The sequence below is a fragment of the Homo sapiens genome, chromosome 17, assembly GCF_000001405.40.
Source record: "Homo sapiens chromosome 17, GRCh38.p14 Primary Assembly".
Classification (NCBI taxonomy): domain Eukaryota; kingdom Metazoa; phylum Chordata; class Mammalia; order Primates; family Hominidae; genus Homo; species Homo sapiens.
In genome coordinates this window covers 556,588-578,201 of record NC_000017.11, presented here as the reverse complement: position 1 = coordinate 578,201, position 21,614 = coordinate 556,588, and the positions used below count along the sequence as shown (strand labels likewise).

Genomic DNA, 21,614 nt, shown 5'->3' with positions numbered 1-21,614 from the left:
TTAGATTCTGAGGGAGATTCTTTGGGAACGCATTAGGTTCTGAGGGAATTTCTCTGGGAAAGAATTACCTGCTTAGGAAGGTTTTCTGGTAATGCAGTGAGGTTCTGAGGGAGGTTGCCTGGGAACGCATTAGGTTCTGAGGGAGGTTCTCTGAAAACGCATTGAGGTCCTAAGGGAAGTTCTTTGGGAACGCATTATGTTCTGAGGGAATTTCTCTGTGAGTGTGTTAGATTCTGAAGGAGGATCTTTGGGAACGCATTAGGTCCTGAGGGAGGATCTTTGGGAACGCATTAGGTTCTGAGGGATGTTCTCTGGGACCACATTAGGTCCTGAGGGTGGTTCTCTGGTAATGCACTGAGATTCTGAGGGAGGTTCTCTGGGAATGCATTAGGTTCTGAGGGAATTTCTCTGGGAACGCATTAAATTCTGAGGGAGGATCTCTGGGAACGCATTAGGTTCTGGGGGAAGTTCTCTGGGAATGAATTACGTGCTTAGGAAGGTTCTCTGGTAATGCACTGAGGTTCTGAGGGAGGTTGCCTCGAAATGCATTACTTTGTGAGGGAGATTCTCTGGGAACGCATTGAGGTCCTAAAGGAAGTTCTTTGGGAATGCATTAGGTTCTGAGGGAGTTTCTCTGCGAACGTATTAGATTCTGAGGGAGGATCTCTGGGAACGCATTAGGTTCTGAGGGATGTTCTCTGGGACCGCATTAGGTCCTGACGGAGGTTTTCTGGTAATGCACTGAGATTCTGTTGGGGGTTCTCTGGGAACGCATTAGGTTCTGAGGGAGGCTCTGTGGTAACGCATTAGGTTTGGAGGGATGTTCTCTGGGAACGCATTGAGGTCCTGAGGGAGGTTCTGTGGTAACTCATTGAGGTTCTGTGGGAGATTCTCTAGGAATGCATTGTGGTTCTGAGGGAGGTTCTCTGGGAACTCACTGAGTTCTGACAGAGGTTCTCTGGGAAAGATTAGGTTCTGAGGGAGGTTCTCTGGGAACGCATTGACGTCCTGAGGGAAGTTCTCTGGAAATGCATTAGGTTCTGAAGGAGGTTTTCTGGGAAAGCATTAGGTCTGAGGGAAGTTCTTTGGGAACACATTAGGTTCTGAGGGAGGTTCTCTGGGAATGCTTTAGGTTCTCTGAGAGGTTCTCTGGGAACGCACTAGATCCTGAGCGAGGTTTCTGGGAATGCATTGAGGTCCTGAGGGAGGTTCTCTGCTAAGTCATTGAGGTTCTGAGGGAGGTTCTCTAGGAAAGCATTGAGGTTCTGAGGGAGGTTTTCTGGGAACGCATTAGGTTCTGAGGGAGGTTCTCTGTGAACGCTTTAGGTTCTGAGGGAGGTTCTCTGGGAATGCACTGAGGTTCTGAGGGAGGTTCTCTGGGCACATATTGGGTTCTGAGGGAGGTTCTCTGGAAATGCACTGAGGTTCTGAGGGAGGTTCTCTGGGCACGTATTGGGTTCTGAGGGAGGTTCTGTGGGAACGCATGGAGGTCCTGAGGGAGGTTCTCTGGGAATGCATTAGGTTCTGAAGAAATTTTTCTGGGAACGCATTAGATTCTGAGGGAGGATCTTTGGGACCACATTAGGTTCTGTGGGAAGTTCTCTGGGAATGCATTGAGGTCTGTGGGAGGTTCTCTGGGAACGCATTAGGTGCTGGAGGAGGTTCTGTGGGAATGCATTAGCTCCTGAGGGAGGTTCTCTGGGAACACATTAGGTGCTGAGGGAGATTCTCTGGGAATGCATTAGGTTCTGAGGTATGTTTTCTGGGAATGCATTGAGGTTCTGAGGGAGGTTCTCTGGCAATGCATTAGGTTCTGAGGGAGATTCTCTGGGAATGCATTAGGTCCTGAGGGAGGTTGTCTGGGAAAGCGTTAGGTTCTGAGGGAAGTTCTTTGGGAATGCATTGAGGTTCTCAGGGAAGTTATCTGAGAACGCATTAGGTTATGAGGCAGATTGTCTGGGAACACATTAGGTTCTGAGAGAGGTTCTCTGGGAACCATTTAGGTTTGAGGGAGGTTCTCTGTGAACACATTAGGTTCTGAGGGAGGTTCTTTGGAAACTCATTAGGTTCTGAGGGAGGTTCTCTGGGAACACATTGAGGTTCTGGGGTGGTTTTTCGGAACTCATTTGGTCCTGAGTGAAGTTCTCTGAGAACGCGTTAGGTTGTGAGGGAGGTTTTCTGGGAACGCATTAGGTTCTGAGGGAGGTTCTCTGCGAATGCATTAGGTTCTGAGTGAAGTTCTCTGGGAACACATTTAGGTCCTAAGGGAATTTCTCTGGGAACGCATTAGGGTCTCAGGGAGGTTCGCTGCGAATGCATTAGGTTCTGAGGGAAGTTCTCTGGGAACGCATTAGGTTCTGAGAGTTTTCTAGGAACGCATTAGGTCCTGAGGGAAGTCTTCTGGGACCGCATTAGGTTCTGAGGGAAGGTCTCTGGGACGCACTAGGTCCTGAGGGAGGTTCTCTGGGAAAGCATTAGATTCTGGGGGAGGTTCTCTGGGAACGCATTGAGGTTCTGAGGGAGGTTCCCTGGAACACATTAGATCCTGAGGGAATTTCTCTGGGAATGCATTAGGTTCTGAGGGAAGTTCTCTGGGAATGCATTGAGGTTCTGAGGAAGGTTCTCTGGGAACGCATTAGGTTCTGAGGGAGATTCTCTGGGAACACATTAGGTTCTGAGGGACATTCTCTGGGAACGCATTGAGGTTCTGAGGGAAGTTCTCTGGGAACGCGTTAGGTTCTGAGGGAAGTTCTCTGGGAACGTATTAGGTTTTTAGGGAGGCTCTCTGGGGTTGCATTTACGCATTTAGGTCTGATTGCACTTCACCCCTCCCCTTGTTTTTAATGCTTCTATCATGGGTGAGCACATTCTTAGTTTCAAACATGTTTCTTAAACCGTAACAGTAAGACAATGTTTCAATTAGAAACTTCACATGGAACTGTATTATTCACTCACGTGATTTTATGGACTGCTTCTATGCTTTTCATGCCCGATTACAAAGTACTTCATATTAAAATCTCAGAAAATGAACTTGCCCAGTAGCTTCTCCATCATCAAATGGAAGTCTCCCCATCAGCCCACCACCAAAGGCAAGTTGCCTTGCCGTCATTTGCCTTGCAAAGACCCAGTAGTGCCCTTGCTCTTGCCCAGTGGGCACGTGCCCAGCAGGCACACCGAGGTACAGTGGGGACTTCTGCCTCTTTGTCCTTGAGAGCACCCTGTCTTCTACATTCACAGTTTGCCTCCAGGAAGTTACTAAGACACCCCTGAGGGGCAGGAAAAAGGATTGGTTATTTGCCTATTAGAGTCACAGGTCTTTGAGGAACCCCCCTGGATGACTCTTTTCAGCCAAAGCCCCATCTTCTCTTAACCCAAATTTTTCGTTTTAAAAGGCTTAAAAGTTACTGGGTCCAGGGTTTATTTTTATTTATTTATTTTTGAGACGGGGTCTCAGTGTCAGCTAAGATGGAGTACAGAGGCGTGATCAGGACTCACTGTAGCCTCAACCTCCTGGGTTTCAGCAGTCTTTCCTACTCAGCCTCTCAAGTAGCTGAGACTACAGGCACACACCACCACACCTGGCTAATTTTTGTATTTTTTGTAGAGACGCAGTTTTGCCATGTTGCCCAGGCTGGTCTCGAACTCCTGGGCTTAAGAGGTCAGCCCACCTCCACCTCCCAAAGTGCTGGGATTACAGGCATGAGCCACCGCGCCCAGCCAAGGCCCAGGGTTTAAAGCACATGTCTGAGGTAGCCACATCCTTTCCCAAAACCTACCTGGTTTAAAGGGTCATTTTTCTGAGTTATTGTAATTCTGGCATCCACTCTTTTCACATGGCCTTGATTTATACAAAGTATACTCATTGTTCATGATACTTTGGGCAAGGAGCCAGGCCTCCCTTCCTTGGGGACTCTCCATTTTCCTGTGAAAAATGAAGTGCTGGCCACTTACCCTGCTGTTTGGCCTCACTAGGAAGTTTCCGCAGCACTAAGGAAGGAGCAGATACTGCGCAGGCTGTGCTGCTGTTCCTGCAGAATAAACACTGTAACTCAAAGTAGAAAATAGAGTTCAAAGAACTCCATTTCCTTATCTGTCAAGAGAGATAGTCAGACAAAATAATGCCCAACGCACTCGTTATTAACCATTTTAAAGTCATAGATCCTTTTTAAGAACCCAATGGAAAGCATCGACGCTCTTGTCAAAAAAATCCATATCATGCACACACTATTTTGAGTGTAATTTCAAGGAGTTCTAGGAACTGCTTCTTCCCTTCAAAGAATCCTGAGGCTGGAGAAGGAACTCAGGTGGGGACTGGTTTTGTGCACATTACTACTTTTGCTGTAGCTCTAACTCAGAAAGCATGAGACCATTCATAACTTCCCAGATGACAGAGACGCAACACAGTGTGGTGGAAAGAGCGTGGGCCTGATCCCAGACATACCTAGATGTGAGGCTTCGCGCTTGCTAGGCTGGGACCTTGAGCATGCTCCTAGCTAGCCCCTCTACACTGTGAGGATCATAAGGCCGACCTCATGGACTTTGTGGCGAGGAGGAGAAGAGGTGGCATTTTCACCTTCAGCACACAGTAAATGGTGCTCAGGAACAGTGCCTGCCCTGCCATCCCTCTCATCTTTTTCAGGACTCCTATGTGGGTGGGTGGCCTTGTCAGTGTGGCCAGATTTCTCTTGAGCCTGGCATGGGGTCCACCTTCTCATCTCCCCAGCCTCCCACCTGCCAAGGGAAAGTTCCGGCAGCATCTGCCCCAGCCAAAAGCCAAGTAGCAGTAGGAGGACTGCAGAGCCAGTACTCAGGGAGGAGGCAGGAAGTGGGGATGGCCACTAGCAGGTTGGGCTAAGCCGTCCTTACATCCTTTAAATGGCTTTCTCAATTTTTATTTATGTTCAAAGAGGAGGTTAGTCTGTCTTCTACCCTTGGCATTTAGTGATTTCCTCTGGCTGACTCTTGCAAAAGAAATTTCTACATAGGCACTTTCTTTACCCCATTCTATGGCGTTCTCCATCAGGGAAGTTACTGGTGACTCCATATCTGCCCATTCTCCTGAGTTCCCTCTAATAACTTTTGTTAGACTAGAACTCATGCTTTTCTAGAGCCTAGCATCTGTCTGTAAACTAATTACCATTGTTGATTATTTTATTTTATTTTTATTTTTATTTTTATTGATCATTCTTGGGTGTTTCTCACAGAGGGGGATTTGGCAGGGTCATAGGACAATAGTGGAGGGAAGGTCAGCAGATAAACAAGTGAACAAAGGTCTCTGGTTTTCCTAGGCAGAGGACCCTGAGGCCTTCCGCAGTGTTTGTGTCCCTGGGTACTTGAGATTAGGGAGTGGTGATGACTCTTAACGAGCATGCTGCCTTCAAGCATCTGTTTAACAAAGCACATCTTGCACTGCCCTTAATCCATTTAACCCTGAGTGGTCACAGCACATGCTTCAGAGAGCACAGGGTTGGGGGTAAGGTCACAGATCAACAGGATCCCAAGGCAGAAGAATTTTTCTTGGTACAGAACAAAATGAAAAGTTTCCCATGTCTACTTCTTTCCACACAGACACGGCAACCATCCGATTTCTCAATCTTTTCCCCACCTTTCCCGCCTTTCTATTCCACAAAACCGCCATTGTCATCATGGCCCGTTCTCAATAAGCTCTTGGGCACACGTCCCAGACGCGCTGGGCAGAGGGGCTCCTCACTTCCCAGTAGGGGCGGCCGGGCAGAGGCGCCCCTCACCTCCCGGATGGGGCGGCTGGCCGGGCGGGGGGCTGACCCCCCCACCTCCCTCCCGGACGGGGTGGCTGCCCGGCGGAGACGCTCCTCACTTCTCAGACGGGGCGGCTGCCGGGCGGAGGGGCTCCTCACTTCTCAGACGGGGCGGTTGCCGGGCAGAGGGTCTCCTCCCTTCTCAGATGGGGCGGCTGGGCAGAGACGCTCCTCACCTCCCAGACGGGGTCGCGGCCGGGCAGAGGCGCTCCTCACATCCCAGACGGGGCGGCGGGGCAAAGGCGCTCCCCACATCTCAGACGATGGGCGGCCGGGCAGAGACGCTCCTCACTTCCTAGATGGGATGGCGGCCGGGAAGAGGCGCTCCTCACTTCCTAGATGGGATGGGGGCCGGGCAGAGACGCTCCTCACTTTCCGGACTGGGCAGCCAGGCAGAGGGGCTCCTCACATCCCAGACGATGGGCGGCCAGGCAGAGACGCTCCTCACTTCCTAGACGGGGTGGCGGCCGGGCAGAGGCTGCACTCTGGGCACTTTGGGAGGCCAAGGCAGGCGGCTGGGAGGTGGAGGTTGTAGCGAGCCGAGATCACGCCCCTGCACTCCAGCCTGGGCACCATTGAGCACTGAGTGAACCAGACACCGTCTGCAATCCCGGCACCTCGGGAGGCCGAGGCTGGCGGATCACTCGCGGTTAGGAGCTGGAGACCAGCCCGGCCAACACAGCGAAACCCCGTCTCCACCAAAAAAATACGAAAACCAGTCAGGCATGGCAGCGCGCGCCTGCAATCGCAGGCACTCGGCAGGCTGAGGCAGGAGAATCAGGCAGGGAGGTTGCAGTGAGCCAAGATGGCAGCAGCACAGTCCAGCTTCGGCTCGGCATCAGAGGGAGACCGTGGAAAGAGAGGGAGAGGGAGACCGTGGGGAGAGGGAGACCGTAGGGAGAGGGAGAGGGAGACTGTAGGGAGAGGGAGAGGGAGAAGGAGAGGGAGAGGGAGAGCCCATTGTTGTTTATTTTGAATTAATTTCAAGCTTACAGAAGAATTATAAGAATTATACAAAGAGCCCTTGTATAGCCTTCATCCAGATTCCTCATTAATAGTTATCTCCCCCACACACGTAATGCACAGACACTGCATGCATTTTCCTTTTCTTTTTTCTCTTCCTTCTTTTTCTTTTTCTCTCTTTCCCTTTCTCTTCTCCCTCCCCTCCCCACCCCTCCCCTCCCTTCCTCTCCCTTCCCCTCCTCCTACTTCAGCCTCTAGAGTAACTGAGACTACAGGCACAGGCCATCACATCAGTCTAATTTTTGTTTTTTTGTAGAGACAGGGTCTCACCATGTTGCTCGGGCTGGTCTCAAACTCCTGGGCTCAAGTGATCTGCTGGCCTCCCAAAGTGTTGAGATTACAGACGTGAACCACTGTGCCCAACCTGTACTTTTTTCCTGAACCTTTGAATTCTCAAGTTGCAGACAAGATTCGCCACTACTCCTTAATACTTCAATATATATTTCTTAGAAACAAGGTTTCTACATAACCACAGTACAACTGTCCACATCAGGAAATTAACGTTGATACAACATTACTGCTTAATCCCAGACCCCTCACATAACCACAGTACAGCTATCAACATCAGGGAATTCACAGTGATACAGTATTACTGCTTCATCCATGCTCTCCTCCTCACATTTCAGCAGTTGTCCCAATCTGCTTGTTTGTTGGCCTGTTTGAATAGCCCTAGGATCACAGGTTGTTAGTTTATTTGTTTGAATAGCTCTCAGATCGCAGGTTGTTTGTTTGTTTAAATAGCTCTAGGATCACAGGTTGCATTTAGTTGTCATGTCTCTTTGGTCTCCTTCAACCCAGAAGACTAATTGAGTCTTTCTTTGTCTTTCATGACCTTGACATTTTTGAAGAGGATTGGCCAATTACTTTCTGGAATTTCCCTCAGTTTGGGTTTGTCTGATGTTTCCTCATTATTTATGATTTATGCAGAAGTGGTCCTGTGTTCCTAGGAATTCATATCAGGAGGCACAGAATGCCAGTTTATCCCAAAACTTGTGATGTGATGTTCTTTTTTTTTTTTTTTTTTTTTTTGAGACAGAGTCGTTTCACTCTATTCCCCAGGCTGGAGTGCAGTGGTGCGATCTCCACTCACTGCAACCTCCACCTCCTGGGCTCAAGCAATTCTCCTGCCTCAGCCTCCTGAGTAGCTGGGATTACAGGTACCCGCCACTGCACCCAGCTAATTTTTGTCTTTTTTTTAGTAGAGACAGGGTTTTGCCATGTTGGTCAGGATGGTCTTGAACTCCTGACTTCAGGTGATCCACCCGCCTTGGCCTCCCAAAGTGCTGAGATTACAGGCGTGAGCTACCACGGCCAGCCTATGATGTTCGTTTTTATTACTTGGTGTAGATGTTGTCTCTACTGGGTATCTCTATTTATTAATAAGTGTTGGGAGAAACCTTGAAACTTTATCAATATCCTTTTCCTCATCTTTCACTTATCATGTAATTTATTACTAAGATGATTGACAATGATGATTTTTCTTCTTTTTTTTTTTTTTGAGGCAGAGTCTTGCTCTGTCGCCCAGGCTGGAGTGCAGTGACATAATCTCGGCTCCTGGGTTCAAGTGATTCTCCTGCCTCAGCCTCCCAAGTAGCTGGGATTATAGATGCTCGCCACCATGCCCAGCTAATTTTTTTGTATTTTTAGTAGAGACGGGGTTTCACCATGTTGGCCAGGCTGGTTTGGAACTCCTGACCTCAAGTGATCTGCCCACCTCGGCCTCCCTAGATGTTGAGATTACAGGCATGAGCTGCCGCGCCCAGTCAAATGGTGATTTTTCTAGCTACATCATTTCTTCTGCGTTTATCAGTTGGCATTCTACTTTAAGAAAAGCTGTCACTTCTCCCCCTTATGTCTATGTCAGCATGGACTCATGGATTTTTATATTTTATTCAGTAGGTTGTAGGCATCACTATCTCTTTTATTTTTACTGTATTTTGGAATAAATGTATACCTATAGGAAAATTTCACAAATAGTACAGATTTCTTATGTTCCCCTTCACCCAACTTCCCCTGATGTTGACATCTTATATAACCACAGCAGAGTTGTCAAAACTGGCAAGTTAACATTGGTACATTACTATTTAATAACCTGCACACCGTGTTTGAACTTCACCAGTTTTTCCATTAGTGTCTGTTTTTCCTTCCAGGATTTGTCGTTGTTATTTTAGTACTCAAATTGTCCCTGACTTGGCCAGTGGGAGCCTCTTAAAGCTGGCTCTTCATCCTTTTTACATGCCACTATCATTTTTTGAGCACCTCCTTCCTCTCTGGCACAATAAAATATACTAGGCTTATCCTGTACTTTTGTATCCCAGCCCTGGAGTCGTCCATTTCCCCAGGCATTTCTTGTTCCTTTGGTGGAGGATGACATTTAGAAACCAAGTATGCTCATTGCTGCTCGGTGTCATTGCTTCCAGATTGCCTTGGCTGAGAGAGCTAAGAAATGTATGTGTGTATAAACATACGTGTATATGTCTCTATAGCTGTGTGTGCACCTGCTTCTACATATATGCCTCTATAGCTGTGTGTGCACCTGCTTCTATATTAGAACCTGTGCATTTGATGCTGATGCCTTCAATTCTAATCTCACACCACAGGGTTTATTTTAGCCTCTCCCATTCAACGTTGGCAACTGCCTTCTACAACAGTGAGAAATTTGGGTCCTAGCATGCTCAGTATATTTACCTATTTGCTCAGTTTGCCTGTATGTAACCCATCTCCCAGCTGTGCTCAAGCCACACCTTGGCTCCCCAGCCCCACTGGCCACACCAGAGCAACATCCTCAGCCCCAGCAAAAAGGAAGAGGAAGGGATGCAAATTAGTGGGAGTACCCTTGAATTAAGAAGCTCTAGGGTCGGGCATGGTTGCTCGTGCCTGTAATCCCAGCACCCTGGGAGGCTGAGGCAGGTGGATGGCTTGAGCTCAGGAGTTCGAGACCAGCCTGGGTGACATGACAAAACCCTGTCTCTACAAAAAAAAGCCCACAAAAATTAACCAGGTGTGGTGGTGTGCACCTGTAGTCCCAGCTACTCAGGAGGCTGGGGTGGGAGGATTGCTGGAGCCTGGGAGGCAGAAGTTGCAGTAAGCTGTGGTCATGCCACTGCACTCCAGCCTGGGTGACCCTGTCTCAAAAAAATAAAAAAATAAATAAATAAGTTATCTAACTTAATGGGGATCTTCAGCTGCCTTGACCTTGCTCACCTGCGTTGCCATCTTCTGGCTACTGTCTTTCTCTCCCTGTGCCTCACTGCTTGACATTCCAATTAGAATATTGTTTCTGTGAATGCTGACTGCAGGCCCACCAGAGAAATGGCCTTGGCCATCCATGGATAAACCCAGTCTGCAATGGCATATTTTTTCTCCTCACTTTAGTTTTTCCCTCTACTGATACCACTCTGCAACTGTCTTCATTCCTAGGGCATGTAATTTATCAGTGGAACTCCCAGCAGTATTTCGGGAAGGAGGTATTTCCTTCCTTCTCCCTTCCCCTCCCCTCCCCTCCCCTCCCCTTCGACAATGTCTTGCTCTGTTGTCCAGGCTGGAGTGCAGTGGTGGCATTATAGCTCACTGTAACCTCAAACTCCTGGGCTCAAATGATCGTCCTCCCTCAGCCTCCCAAGTAACTGTAACTACAAGCACACACCACCATGCCTAACTAATTTGTTTATTTTTTTTTAGAGATAGGGATCTTACTTTGTTGCCCACACTATTCTCAAACTCCTGGCCTCCTCCTAGCCATGCATGGTGATGGACGCCTGTAGTCCCAGCTACTTGGGAGGCTGAGGCAGGAGAATTGCTTGAGCCTGGGAGGTTGAGGCTGCAGTGAGCCATGATCATGCCACTGCACTTTGTCCTGGGTGACAAAGCAATACTCTGTCTCAAAAAAAAAAAAAAGAAATGTGATCAGATTGGATCATGTATTCAAAACTAATGAGCCTTACGCATTCCCATTGGGGTAACTTACATTCTTCTGTTCTGTGAAATACTGGCTACTGATTTTCTAATGTCTCATGTGGCATCAAAGCATGCTGATGCAGGGTGAAAGATGGAAGGCAGGGGAAGGTTTCCCCAACTGGTTTATTTCTCATCCACTTGAAAGAACAATGTCAGAAGTAACCGAGTAGACATCCTGTAGACATTCTACAAAGTATAGATCTTTAGAGCTTTTTGAAGTGAACATTTTCTTTATGCTGTATGATCATAATTAGTTTATAATCTTACTCATTGGGGTGGCTCTGAAATAGGAAGCAAGTAAGTAAGTATCCATCTTCTAGGGGAACAGGTGAGTGATGAAAATAGAATCACATCAGAGTTGGCTGGCGCGTTGGCTCACGCCTGGAAGCACATCAGAGTCGGCTGGGCGCAGTGGCTCACGCCTGTAATCCCAGCACTTTGGGAGGCTGAGGCGGGCGATCACTAGGTCAGGAGTTCAAGACCAGCCTGGCCAAGATGGTGAAACCCCATCTCTACTAAAAAAAAAAGCAAAAATTAGCCGGTTGTGGTGGTGTGTGCCGGTAGTCCCAGCTACTCAGGAAGCTGAGGCAGTAGAATCACTTGAACCCGGGAGGCAGAGGTTGCAGTGAGCTGAGATCAAACCACTGCACTCCAGCCTGGACAACTGAGTGAGACTCCGTCTCCAAAAAAAGCAAAAAACAAAAACAAAAAAAAACAAAAAAAACACCCATGTCAGAGCTCTGGTCCCTGATTTGGTTGGCACTATCAATTTAGAGATTAGAATCTCATAAGAAGACCCCAGGGGAATCTTTTGCCTTCTGTTCCATGTTCTCCTCCACTGCACCGGCCTCCATCCCGTTTCCACCTTCCCACCCTCCATTCCCATCCCCTAGGAACAAAGTGTGGAGGTTGATCAGGTAAGTATGTATCGAGCACTAGCATGAAGCTTCACTCCACTCATTGGCATGACGGGCGGGCCGGGGGCAGCAGAACCAGCATAAACGTCATTCCTCCTCTCAGGGAGCTTGTGTTAACAGGCACGAAACAGATGATTCTACCTCCTTCGCCTTTTGTACCAACTTCAGTTGATAGAGGTGACTGGCTGGAGTGCTGTCTCAAGAAGGATTCTGGAATCACAAGAGAGATCAGTGAAGAAAGGGCTCCTTGTTGATTAGCATTGCCTACCGTGGCCCAGGATGGGAGAAGATAGGTTATTTCTTTCTTTTTTTTTTTTTTTTTTTGAGACGGAGTCTCGCTCTGTCGCCCAGGCTGGAGTGCAGTGGCGGGATCTCGGCTCACTGCAAGCTCCGCCTCCCGGGTTCACGCCATTCTCCTGCCTCAGCCTCCCAAGTAGCTGGGACTACAGGCGCCCGCCACTACGCCTGGCTAATTTTTTTGTATTTTTAGTAGAGACGGGGTTTCACCGTTTTAGCCGGGATGGTCTCGATCTCCTGACCTCGTGATCCGCCCGCCTCGGCCTCCCAAAGTGCTGGGATTACAGGCGTGAGCCACCGCGCCCGGCCGGTTATTTCTTGAATATATGGCATCCTCGCACTGTCTAATAAAGTGTTAAATAAAGTGTTGGTGGGTGGCAGATGACAGAAGTTGCAGCTGCTGCGGGTGAGACCTGGATGAGCTTGAAAGGGGAGTGGACAGGTGGTGGGAGAGCGTTTTGGCCAGGACGTCACACAGGCCCAGTGACCGGGAGTAGGCCAGCAGGGGAGCCGTTGCGAGGCCCACTGACCGGGAGTAGGCCAGCAGGGGAGCTGTTGCGAGGAACCTCTGGCTGGAGTGTTGGGTCAGCTGTGGAGGAGAGGTGGGAGATTCAGTGGGAAAGTGAGGCAAGAGAGGTTATGAGGAACAAGAGTGGTGGCCATGAAGCTTTCCGAGGTCAACCAACGAGATCCTTCCCTGCTTTCTCACTATCACCACAGACAGAGACTTAGCCTAGGCCAGAAGCTCTTTGAGGGCAGAGTGGTTGTATCTGGATATAATAGACTTTCTTTTTCTTTTCTTTCTTTTTTTTTTTTTTTTTTTTTTTGAGATGGGGTTTCGCTCTTGTTGCCCAGGCTGTAGTGCAATGGTACGATCTCGGCTCACTGCAACTTCCGCCTCCCAGGTTCAAGTGATTCTCCTACCTCAGCCTCCCGAGTAGCTGGGATTACAGGCACCCGCCACCACGCCTGGCTAATTTTTTGTGTTTTTAGTGAAGACGGGGTTTCTCTATGTTGGTCAGGCTGGTCTCAAACTCCCGACCACAGGTGATCCACCCGCCCCGGCTTCCCAAAGTGCTGGGATTACAGGTGTGAGCCCCCACGTTGGGCCTATAATAGACTTTCAATAACAAAAGCCTTTGAGTAAAATGTCAATTTTCTCCTATTCCTGCTAATTGGTGGTATGTGTGGTTCTTGTCTTTTTCTTCCTTACCATTATATAAATACATTTTTAAAACACAGCTGGATTCCTATAGCCTTAAACGGCAACCTAAAAAGATGCAACATGTCAGGAGTGGTGGGAACCCTTCCCATTCTTCACACAGCACAGCTGTGCAGGCAGCAGTTACTGCAGCTCTGCTGGATCCTCACAGGTGATGACACAATTCAACGGAACAATTACAGGGATGTTTGAATGGGAAATCGGAGAAAAATTGCAACTCTCATCCCCACTGTGGCCTGAGGCAAGTCTGGAGCTGCTCATACCCTGTTTTGGTTTTTGTTTTTTTTTTCCAGATATCAAGTCTTGCTCTGTTGCCCAGGCTGGAATGCAGTGGTGTGAGCTGGGCTCACAGCAACCTCCGCCTCCTGAGTTCAAGTGATTCTCTGCCTCAGGTCTCAGCCTTCCAAGTAGCTGGGATTACAGGCATGCGCCACCACCCCCAGCTAATTTTTTTTTTTTTTTTTTTTCTGAGACAGAGTCTCACTTTGTTGCCCAGGCTGGAGGGCAGTGGTGCAGTCTCAGCTCACTGCAAGCTCCGCCTCCCGGGTTCATGCCATTCTCCTGCCTCAGCCTCTGAAGTAGCTGGGACTACGGGCACCCGCCATCATGCCCGGCTAATTTTTTTTTTGTATTTTTAGTAGAGACGGGGTTTCAACGTGTTAGGATGGTCTTGATCTCCTGACCTTGTGATCCGCCTGCCTTGGCCTCCCAAAGTGCTGGGATTACAGGCATGAGCCACTGTGCCTGGCCCACACCACGCTAATTTTTGTATTTTTAGTAGAGACGGGGTTTTGCCATGTTGGCCAGGCTGGTCTCGAACTCCTGGCCTCAAGTGATCCGCCGCCTGGGCCTCCCAAAGTGTTGGGATTACAGGCATGAGCCACCGCACCCGGCCCACACCCGGCTAATTTTTGTATTTTTAGTAGAGACGGGGTTTTGCCATGTTGGCCAGGCTGGTCTCGAACTCCTGTCCTCAAGTGATCTGCCCGCCTCGGCCTCCCACAGTGCTGGGATTACAGGCTTGAGCCACCACACTCTGCCCGTACCCTCTCTTTTCCTAAGATTTTTTTAAACCTTTGATTCTGGAAGTTCTAAGAAAAAACTAAATCGGAGGAGAAAGAAACCATTATAACACATTTCACAGTTTCTCTTTGTTTAGGCATCTGTCTCTTGGGCACATTTAGGTTCGTGATGTCTAAATATGTGCTGACATCATAACCTTTTTGTTTTTAGGAAGTAGAGTGCTTAAAGGCTTGAAGCTTAGAGCCAGGCTGCTTAGTTTTTAATCGTGGCTCTCCTGTTTTCTTGCTGTATTACTCTGGACAAGGTACTCAACTTTTCTGTACTTAACTCTTTGAAAATGAGGATAGTAATAATACATACTATGTAAGTTTATTGTAAAAAGTAAATGAGCTGGGCGCAGTGAGTGGCTCACACCTGTAATCCCAGCACTTTGGGAGGCCAAGGTGGGTGGATCACCTGAGGTCAGGATGTCGAGACCAGCCTGGGCAACATGGTGAAACCCTGTCTCTACTGAAAATAAAAGTTAGCTGGGCATGGTGGCGTGTGCCTGTAGTCCCAGCTACATGGGAGGCTGACGCAGGAGAATTGCTTGAACCCTGAAGATGGAGGTTGCAGTGGGCCAAGATCATGCCGCTGCACTCCAGCCTGGGCCAACAGAGCAAGACTCTGTCTCAAAAAAAAAAAAAAAAAAAAAAAAAGGAAATGAAGTTCAGTGAGATGGGTATAAAGCATGGACATAATACCTGGTGCATCTCAAGTGTTCAGAAAACGATCACTATCATGATTTAGGGTTTTCCTTTTTGGAGGGGTAAACAGTACTAATATGATAGAAGGATTAGTTTCTTACTTTAGTATTGGAGTCTAGGCTCAGCTCTGCCACAGACTTTGTGAGAAACTTTCTAGGACTTAATTTTCTCATCTTTTAGCGGGACCAGTAATACCCTATCTTGCTTACAGGGGTTTGGAGTCCAATATGATAATGAAATGCCTTGAAAAGTATAAAGCACAAATGTCAATCGACTTAGAGATTAGAATCTCATATGTCAGATTTTATTACTGCTGTTGTAGGAGTGGTGGTGGTAGTGAATGATGATATTGATTAAAATCGATCCGATTTTAAGTTTTAAATGCAGTAGGAATGATTACTTGTGGCAGTAGTTTATGTACATTGCAAACGAGCACATTTGCTTTACTTTTCTTGAAGTAAAATAACATTTTTGGTTTTTTTTTTTCCTCCTAGGAACCTCGGAGAGCTGATAGATCGGTTTGTGGCTGATTTCAAAGCCCAGGGGCCACCTAAGCCCAACACTGATGAAGGGGGTGCCGTGCTCCCCAGCTGCGCCGACCTCTTTGTCTACTACAAGAAGTGCATGGTGCAATGCTCTCAGCTCAGTACTGGGGAGCCCATGATCGCCCTGACCACCATTTTCCAGAAGTACCTCCGAGAATACGCCTGGAAAATCCTCTCTGGCAACCTGCCCAAGTGAGTCCTGTTCTTCATAGTCTGAGTGGTGGCAAATAGACCTAAATATGGGAATCTTAAGGAAATCCACTCTGAAGTTGTTTACTAAACCACCAAGAGTATCAAGGAGGAAAGCACGCTTCCTGAGTTCCCGAGGGCCTGAAGCTATTTCCTCTCTGACATTCCACAGCTGATCAAGACCATCAGAGGAAATGTCCACACTGACTGCCCACGTGGGCAAATCTTACCACGGTGGACTCGAGAACCAATCCCATTGTATGCCTATTTAATTTTCATGGATTCAGCTATAGATACTTGGCACATACAAAAAAAGTGAGGTTGTGGTGGAAATAACTGATAAATAGCTTAAGCAGTTTCACCCAAGCCTCTTTTGGTGAGATGATGCCCCGGAGTGATGGGTTGGAGGAATGAATCTGCTTTTTCCTCATTCCCAGTAGGTTCCAAGTCCCTCTTGTGGTGCACACTTCCTGCCATGCTGGACAGAGCCTAATGTTTCAGATGCGGTAGGATTGGGGGTCAGCTACTGCATAGCTCCTAATTATGGGGACTATTGTGTTATCCTGAGGCATTAGAACTGGACATAGCCTAATGTTTGAAGATGCGGTAGGATTGGGGGCAGCCGAGGCAGGAGGATCACTTGAGGTCAGGAGTTTGAGACCAGCCTGGCTAATATGGTGAAACCCCATCTCTACTAAAAATACAAAAATCAGCTGGGTGTGGTGGTGCATGCCTGTAGTCCCGGCTGCTCGGGAGGCTGAGGCAGGAGAATCACTTGAACCCGGGAGGCGGAGGTTGCGCTGAGCCGAGATTGTGCCATTGCACTCCAGCCTGGGCATTGCAGGGAGACTCCGCCCTAAAAAATAAATAAATAAATAAATAAATTATGTATAATCCCACTACCCAAAGAGAACGTAACTTTTTGTATATATTTTTCCGTTCTTGATAGATACCTAATGTGTGTGATCTGTGTGCTTTTGTTTGTTTGTGTCACGGAATTGGGGCTATACTGCTTATAGCTTTATTCCCTGCAGCTACCGTTTAACTTCATCGTGGGAGCATTTTCCCACGTGTATTAGTCAGCATCTCAGCAGAAAAAAATGGCATACTCAGCTGGGATTATGTCAGTAGAGAGACTGTTCACAGAAGTGGGGGCAAGGTGAAAGGAGCCAACAGAGGATTCCAAAGCATCCAGATATGAGTGGGTAGTGGTTACTACCATAGAACTCACTCAGTAGCTGGGGCTGCCCCAAAACCTGTAGTCACAGGAGGATGTGTGATGGGTGTTGGCCTCTTGAGACACTTAGGGCCTTGGGCAGGAAGCATGTCTTAACATTCGCTTATGTCCTCCTCCACAAGCACACATGAGTCCCCTTGCAGACTTCTCTTAACATTCGCTTATATCCTCCTCCACCAGCACACACGAGTCCCAGTGCAGACTTTTCTTAACATTCACTTATGTCCTCCTCCACAAACACACATGAGTTCCAGTGCAGACTTCTCTTAACATGCGCTTATGTCCTCCTCCACCAGCACACATGAGTCCCAGTGCAGACTTTTCTTAACTGAAAGAAACAGGGTAGGTAACCATCTTTCGTGCTCCACACGGTCCTAAATGAGTTCTGCACATCAGGAGATTCCAAGCTAAAGAGAGGACAGCTCAGCAGCCTTCCCTTTGGATATTAGACCATCCTAGTTAATGTGACTAATGGCCTGCTGATGATTCAGATTAACTAAAATAGGAATCATCTCTTCCTATTTCTGACGGTGTCAAGGTAAGGTCAGTAGGAAAAGGACTCATTGTATGTGAATTGATTTGGGCCATGTCCAGCCTTTACTTCCCCCTTTTCTGTATCTTAAAATAATGTAGTTTCCAGTTCAGGAAGCAAATTAGAAATTCCATGCTGACTTGTTCCTGTTCCTTTTCTTCAGAACCACAACCAGCAGTGGAGGACTGACTATCAGCAGCCTCCTCAAGGAAAAGGAGGGCTCAGAAGTAGCCAAGTTCACTCTGGAGGAGCTCTGCCTCATCTGTAACATCCTGAGCACGGCAGAGTACTGTCTGGCCACCACCCAGCAGGTGAGCCATCCTGGCTGCCCACTCACCACCTCCTTTTCCTGAACCCTCTGGGCTGCGTCGCTCGGCGAGTAAGAATATACGTCCTAACATGGCCACAGACAACCTTGGGTCAGACCAGTTGGCCTGCCACAGAGGAAAGCTCAGTGTCCAGCCATAAGGCTGCCCAGGCAGCTGTCTTACAGAAAGGCCTTGTTAAAAGAAGACTGGGCAAGAAAGTATGACTGGTCACCTCCCTGGAGTTGTGTAAGCTCCTCAAAGGGCATGACCTGTTAAAAGTAGGTCAGTAGCACTCCAACCCATATGAGAAAAGCAGTAACAAGCTTGTCTGTGCTAGGACCCAGCCTTTGGTGATGATGAGTCACAGCCAGTTATTCCATGCTCAGAAGTGTTACTAAGTTAAGCAGAATCCTTTGGGCTTTTATGTGTCTTCTGAAATTTACATGGCATTTTCAATCTGCCTCAACAAATAGCCATTGTTTGGGATGCTGACGTTTAGGAACTGGGGGACAGGAAAGGGTGATGCCTCTGCTGGAGGCCCCCACATGGCCATAGTTCAGCAACTGATGGAGCAGAAGGAAGACCCAGAATAACCTTTGATTCAGCCTTAAACATGGAATTAGAAGTCCTTTTCACACTTGGTCTGGGATTCCCCTGAGGCCAAGAGAAAGAAAGTAATTTGGAAAGGTTCTGCTCTTCTACCCACTTTGTATTTATAATTTACAGATGCCTAGACCACAAGAAGACAGTCATAAATGATAGTTCAGACAGCCCAGCTTGGAGCTCCTGTGTGCCAGGGCAGCAATATAGCAGGTCAAATAGGAAGTGTGTCTACCAAGGCCCCTCAGTGGCACATAAGCCAGCCAGAGGCAGAGGCAGCAGCACACTCTGCCTGGGGACCTGGTCATGTTGAGTTGCGAAGGTCATGACCTTCCAGGGTTTGGCCTTGGAGCCACAGAGCAGTCCGTTTAGCCCCAGGCCACTCCCCAGGTAAGATGGCACTATCTGTAAGGACCTCCAAGGCAGGGGTTCCAGAGTTCTTTCATGAAGAAACACTGTTTAACTATTTTGGGTGTGCACAGAAAGAAATACGATACATGTAAATATGCTATTTTAAAGGTAAAATAACCGTAGTATTTAAAAAAATAAAGATCCCTTTTAATCCCATCATCCTCAAATAATCATATTAGCAATTTGGGGTATTTTTTCAATTGTTATTCATAGACATAGTTTTGAATGTTACAATCTTAATTCACTGTTATATCCTTTTATTGTTAGTGTCATACATAGCATTAGCATTTCTCCTGTCATTATAATGATAGTAATAATCATAACTATCATTACAGGGTCATTATTACTATCATTGTTTATGGCCACATAATATTTCTCTTTAAGGGACTATACCATAAATTATTTATTTATTTATTTATTTTGAGACAGAGTCTTGCTCTGTCTTCCAGGCTGGAGTGCAGTGGCCATGATCTTGGCTCATTGCAGCCTCCACCTCCCAGGTTCAAGCAATTCTTCTGCCTCAGCCTCCTGAGTAGCTGGGATTATAGATGCCCATCACCATCCCCGGCTAATTTTTGTATTTTTTTTTTTTTTTTAGTAGAGATGGGGTTTCACCATCTTGGCCAGGCTGATCTCCAACTCTTGACCTTGTGATCCACCTGCCTTGGCCTCCCAAAGTGCTGGGATTACAGGTGTGAGCCCCTGTGCCCGGCCTTGTACCATAACTTATTTAGCAAGCATCCCTGATCGTTGTTTATAGTGCTTCAAATTTTGCTTTTTTTTTGAAACAGAGTCTCTCTCTGTCACCCAGGCTGGAGTGCAGTGGCACGATCTCGGCTCACTGCAAGCTCCCCCTGCCGGGTTCTCGCCATTCTCCTGCCTCAGCCTCGCGAGTAGCTGGGACTACGGGTTCCCATCACCACGCCTGGCTAATTTTTTTTTATTTTTAGTAGAGGCCGGGTTTCACTGTGTTAGCCAGGATAGTCTCGATCTCCTGATCTTGTGATCTGCCCGTCTTGGCCTCCCAAAGTGCTGGGATTACAGACGTGAGCCACTGTGAGTAGCTGGGACTACAGGCACCCGCTACCACACACAGCTAATTTTTTGTATTTTTAGTAGAGACGGGGTTTCACTGTGTTAGCCAGGATGGTCTCAATCTCCTGACCTCGTGATCCACTCACCTTGGCCTTCCAAAGTGCTGGGATTATAGGCGTGAGCCACCATGCCCAGCCAAAATTTTGCTTTTATAGATAATCCTGGCAGGGTACAGTGGCTCACGCCTGTAATCCTAGCATATTGGGAAGCCAAGGTGGAAGGATCGCTTGAGGCCAATAGTCCAAGACCAGCCTGGGTAACATAGTGAGACCTGGTCTTTACAAAAAATTTAAAAGTTAGTTGAGTGTGGTGGTACATGCCTGTGGTCTCAGCTACTTGGGAAGCTGAGGTTGGAGGATCGCTTGAGCCTGGGAGGTCAAAGCTGCAGTGAGCTATGATCACACCACTGCACTCCAGCCTGGGTGACAGAGTGAGACCCTGTCTCTAAAAAAAAAAAAAAAAAAAAAGATAATCCTTACAAAGAATGTCTTTCTGAATATAGCATCTTAAATGTTTTGCATTAGTTTTCTAGAACAGACTCTTAGAAGTTCTAGAAATAAGTTGAAGACCATTTTGATGACTGATGATACAAGTGGCCAATTATTTTTTATTTAGTGAAAATTGTTTTTATTGATTACAAAAGTAATACATTCTTAGCACCTTTATTGTGATCTCTAAATACAATTTTCCACTAAAAGAAACCAGAGATTCCTGGAGAAATGACTAATTCCAGGTCAAGGGCAGGAAATCTACAAGATGAATCAGAACATCATGTTACACAAAAAGCAAGAAAAATATCAAAGACTATTAGTGTCATCTCAAGAGGACCCAGGGAGATATAGTGGGTTGAAGTGTCCCCCCAACCCCAAAATATGTCCAAGTCCTAGGCCTTGGGACATGTAAATGTGACTTTATCTTGGTAAATGTAATTAAGTATCTCAAGATGAGATGGTCCTGGATTTAGGATTGGTGGGGGGCCTTATCTAATGACTGTTGTCCTTAGAAAGGAGAGAGAGATTGAACACACAGAGATACAGGGAAGAAGGCCGTGAGAAGGAGGCAGAGGCTGGAGTCAGACTTCTATGAGCCAAGGAACATCAAGGATTGCCAGCAAACACCCAAAGCTAGAAGAGAGGTGTAAATAGTTTTTTCCTCAGAGCTTCCAGAAGAGTGGGGGCGCGGTGGCTCATGCCTATAATCCCAGCACTTTGGGAGGCTGAGGAGGGTGGATCACTTGAGGTCAGGAGTTTAAGACCAGTCTCGTCAACATGGCAAAACCCCGTCTCTACTAAAAGAATACAAAAATTAGCCGGGTGTGGTGGCTTCTCACTTGGCAGTCTCATTCCCCAAGCCTCAGGTCCCCGCTTCAGTATCACCTCCTCAGAGAGCCCCTCCTGGCCACCCCCCTTCAGCAGAGAGGCCCTCCTGGCCACCCCCCTTCAGTAGGTAGCTCCCTTATTCCAGCACTGCCAAATTTATTTCCTAACACCACAAAACCGAAGTTACGTCTCGGCTGGCTTACTTCCTTATTATCTGGCGCCCCCATTAGTTTTAAGTTACATGCCAGAAAGTCTACTTTGTTCACCTCTGTTCATTAGCACCAAATACAATGCCTGGTACGTAATAAGTGCTTAATAAAGATCTCTTGAAGGAATAAAAGAGCCCACTCCTGAGATAATGGCATTAACCCATGATGATGCCAGAGCCCTCATGACCTCATACCTCTCAACACTGT

The 21,614-nt window shown here is 47.5% G+C and overlaps 1 protein-coding gene across 11 annotated transcripts in view, besides 3 other annotated features; it reads left to right on the top strand.

Moving 5' to 3' along the window:
* The window catches only part of VPS53 (VPS53 subunit of GARP complex), a 206,172-nt gene that overhangs the window by 136,638 nt on the left and 47,920 nt on the right, over positions 1–21,614 (top strand). For 10 of the 11 annotated variants that reach the window (XM_047436345.1, XM_047436344.1, NM_001128159.3 and 7 more), the window contains 2 exons: positions 15,457–15,699; positions 17,629–17,776. In XM_047436345.1, the coding sequence (XP_047292301.1) occupies positions 15,457–15,699; positions 17,629–17,776 (391 nt within the window). Of the gene's footprint in view, positions 1–15,456; positions 15,700–17,628; positions 17,777–21,614 lie in introns of those variants that run through there. The other variant, XM_047436351.1, reaches the window with a different exon arrangement.
* Positions 5,089–5,973: an enhancer, noted in NCBI's record as "NANOG-H3K27ac-H3K4me1 hESC enhancer chr17:475469-476353 (GRCh37/hg19 assembly coordinates)". NCBI's record gives its function as "activates a minimal SCP1, AML or CMV promoter by ChIP-STARR-seq in naive and primed H9 embryonic stem cells {active_cell/tissue: H9 hESC(naive and primed)}" and the evidence as "EXISTENCE:reporter gene assay evidence [ECO:0000049][PMID:30033119]".
* Positions 16,937–16,986: a silencer, noted in NCBI's record as "silent region_7940". NCBI's record gives its function as "represses an Ori minimal core promoter by ATAC-STARR-seq in GM12878 lymphoblastoid cells {active_cell/tissue: GM12878}" and the evidence as "EXISTENCE:reporter gene assay evidence [ECO:0000049][PMID:35858748]".
* Positions 17,002–18,201: an enhancer, noted in NCBI's record as "CDK7 strongly-dependent group 2 enhancer chr17:463241-464440 (GRCh37/hg19 assembly coordinates)". NCBI's record gives its function as "activates an origin of replication core promoter dependent on BRD2, BRD4, P300/CBP, MED14 and CDK7 cofactors, with strong dependence on CDK7, by STARR-seq in HCT116 cells {active_cell/tissue: HCT116}" and the evidence as "EXISTENCE:reporter gene assay evidence [ECO:0000049][PMID:35650434]".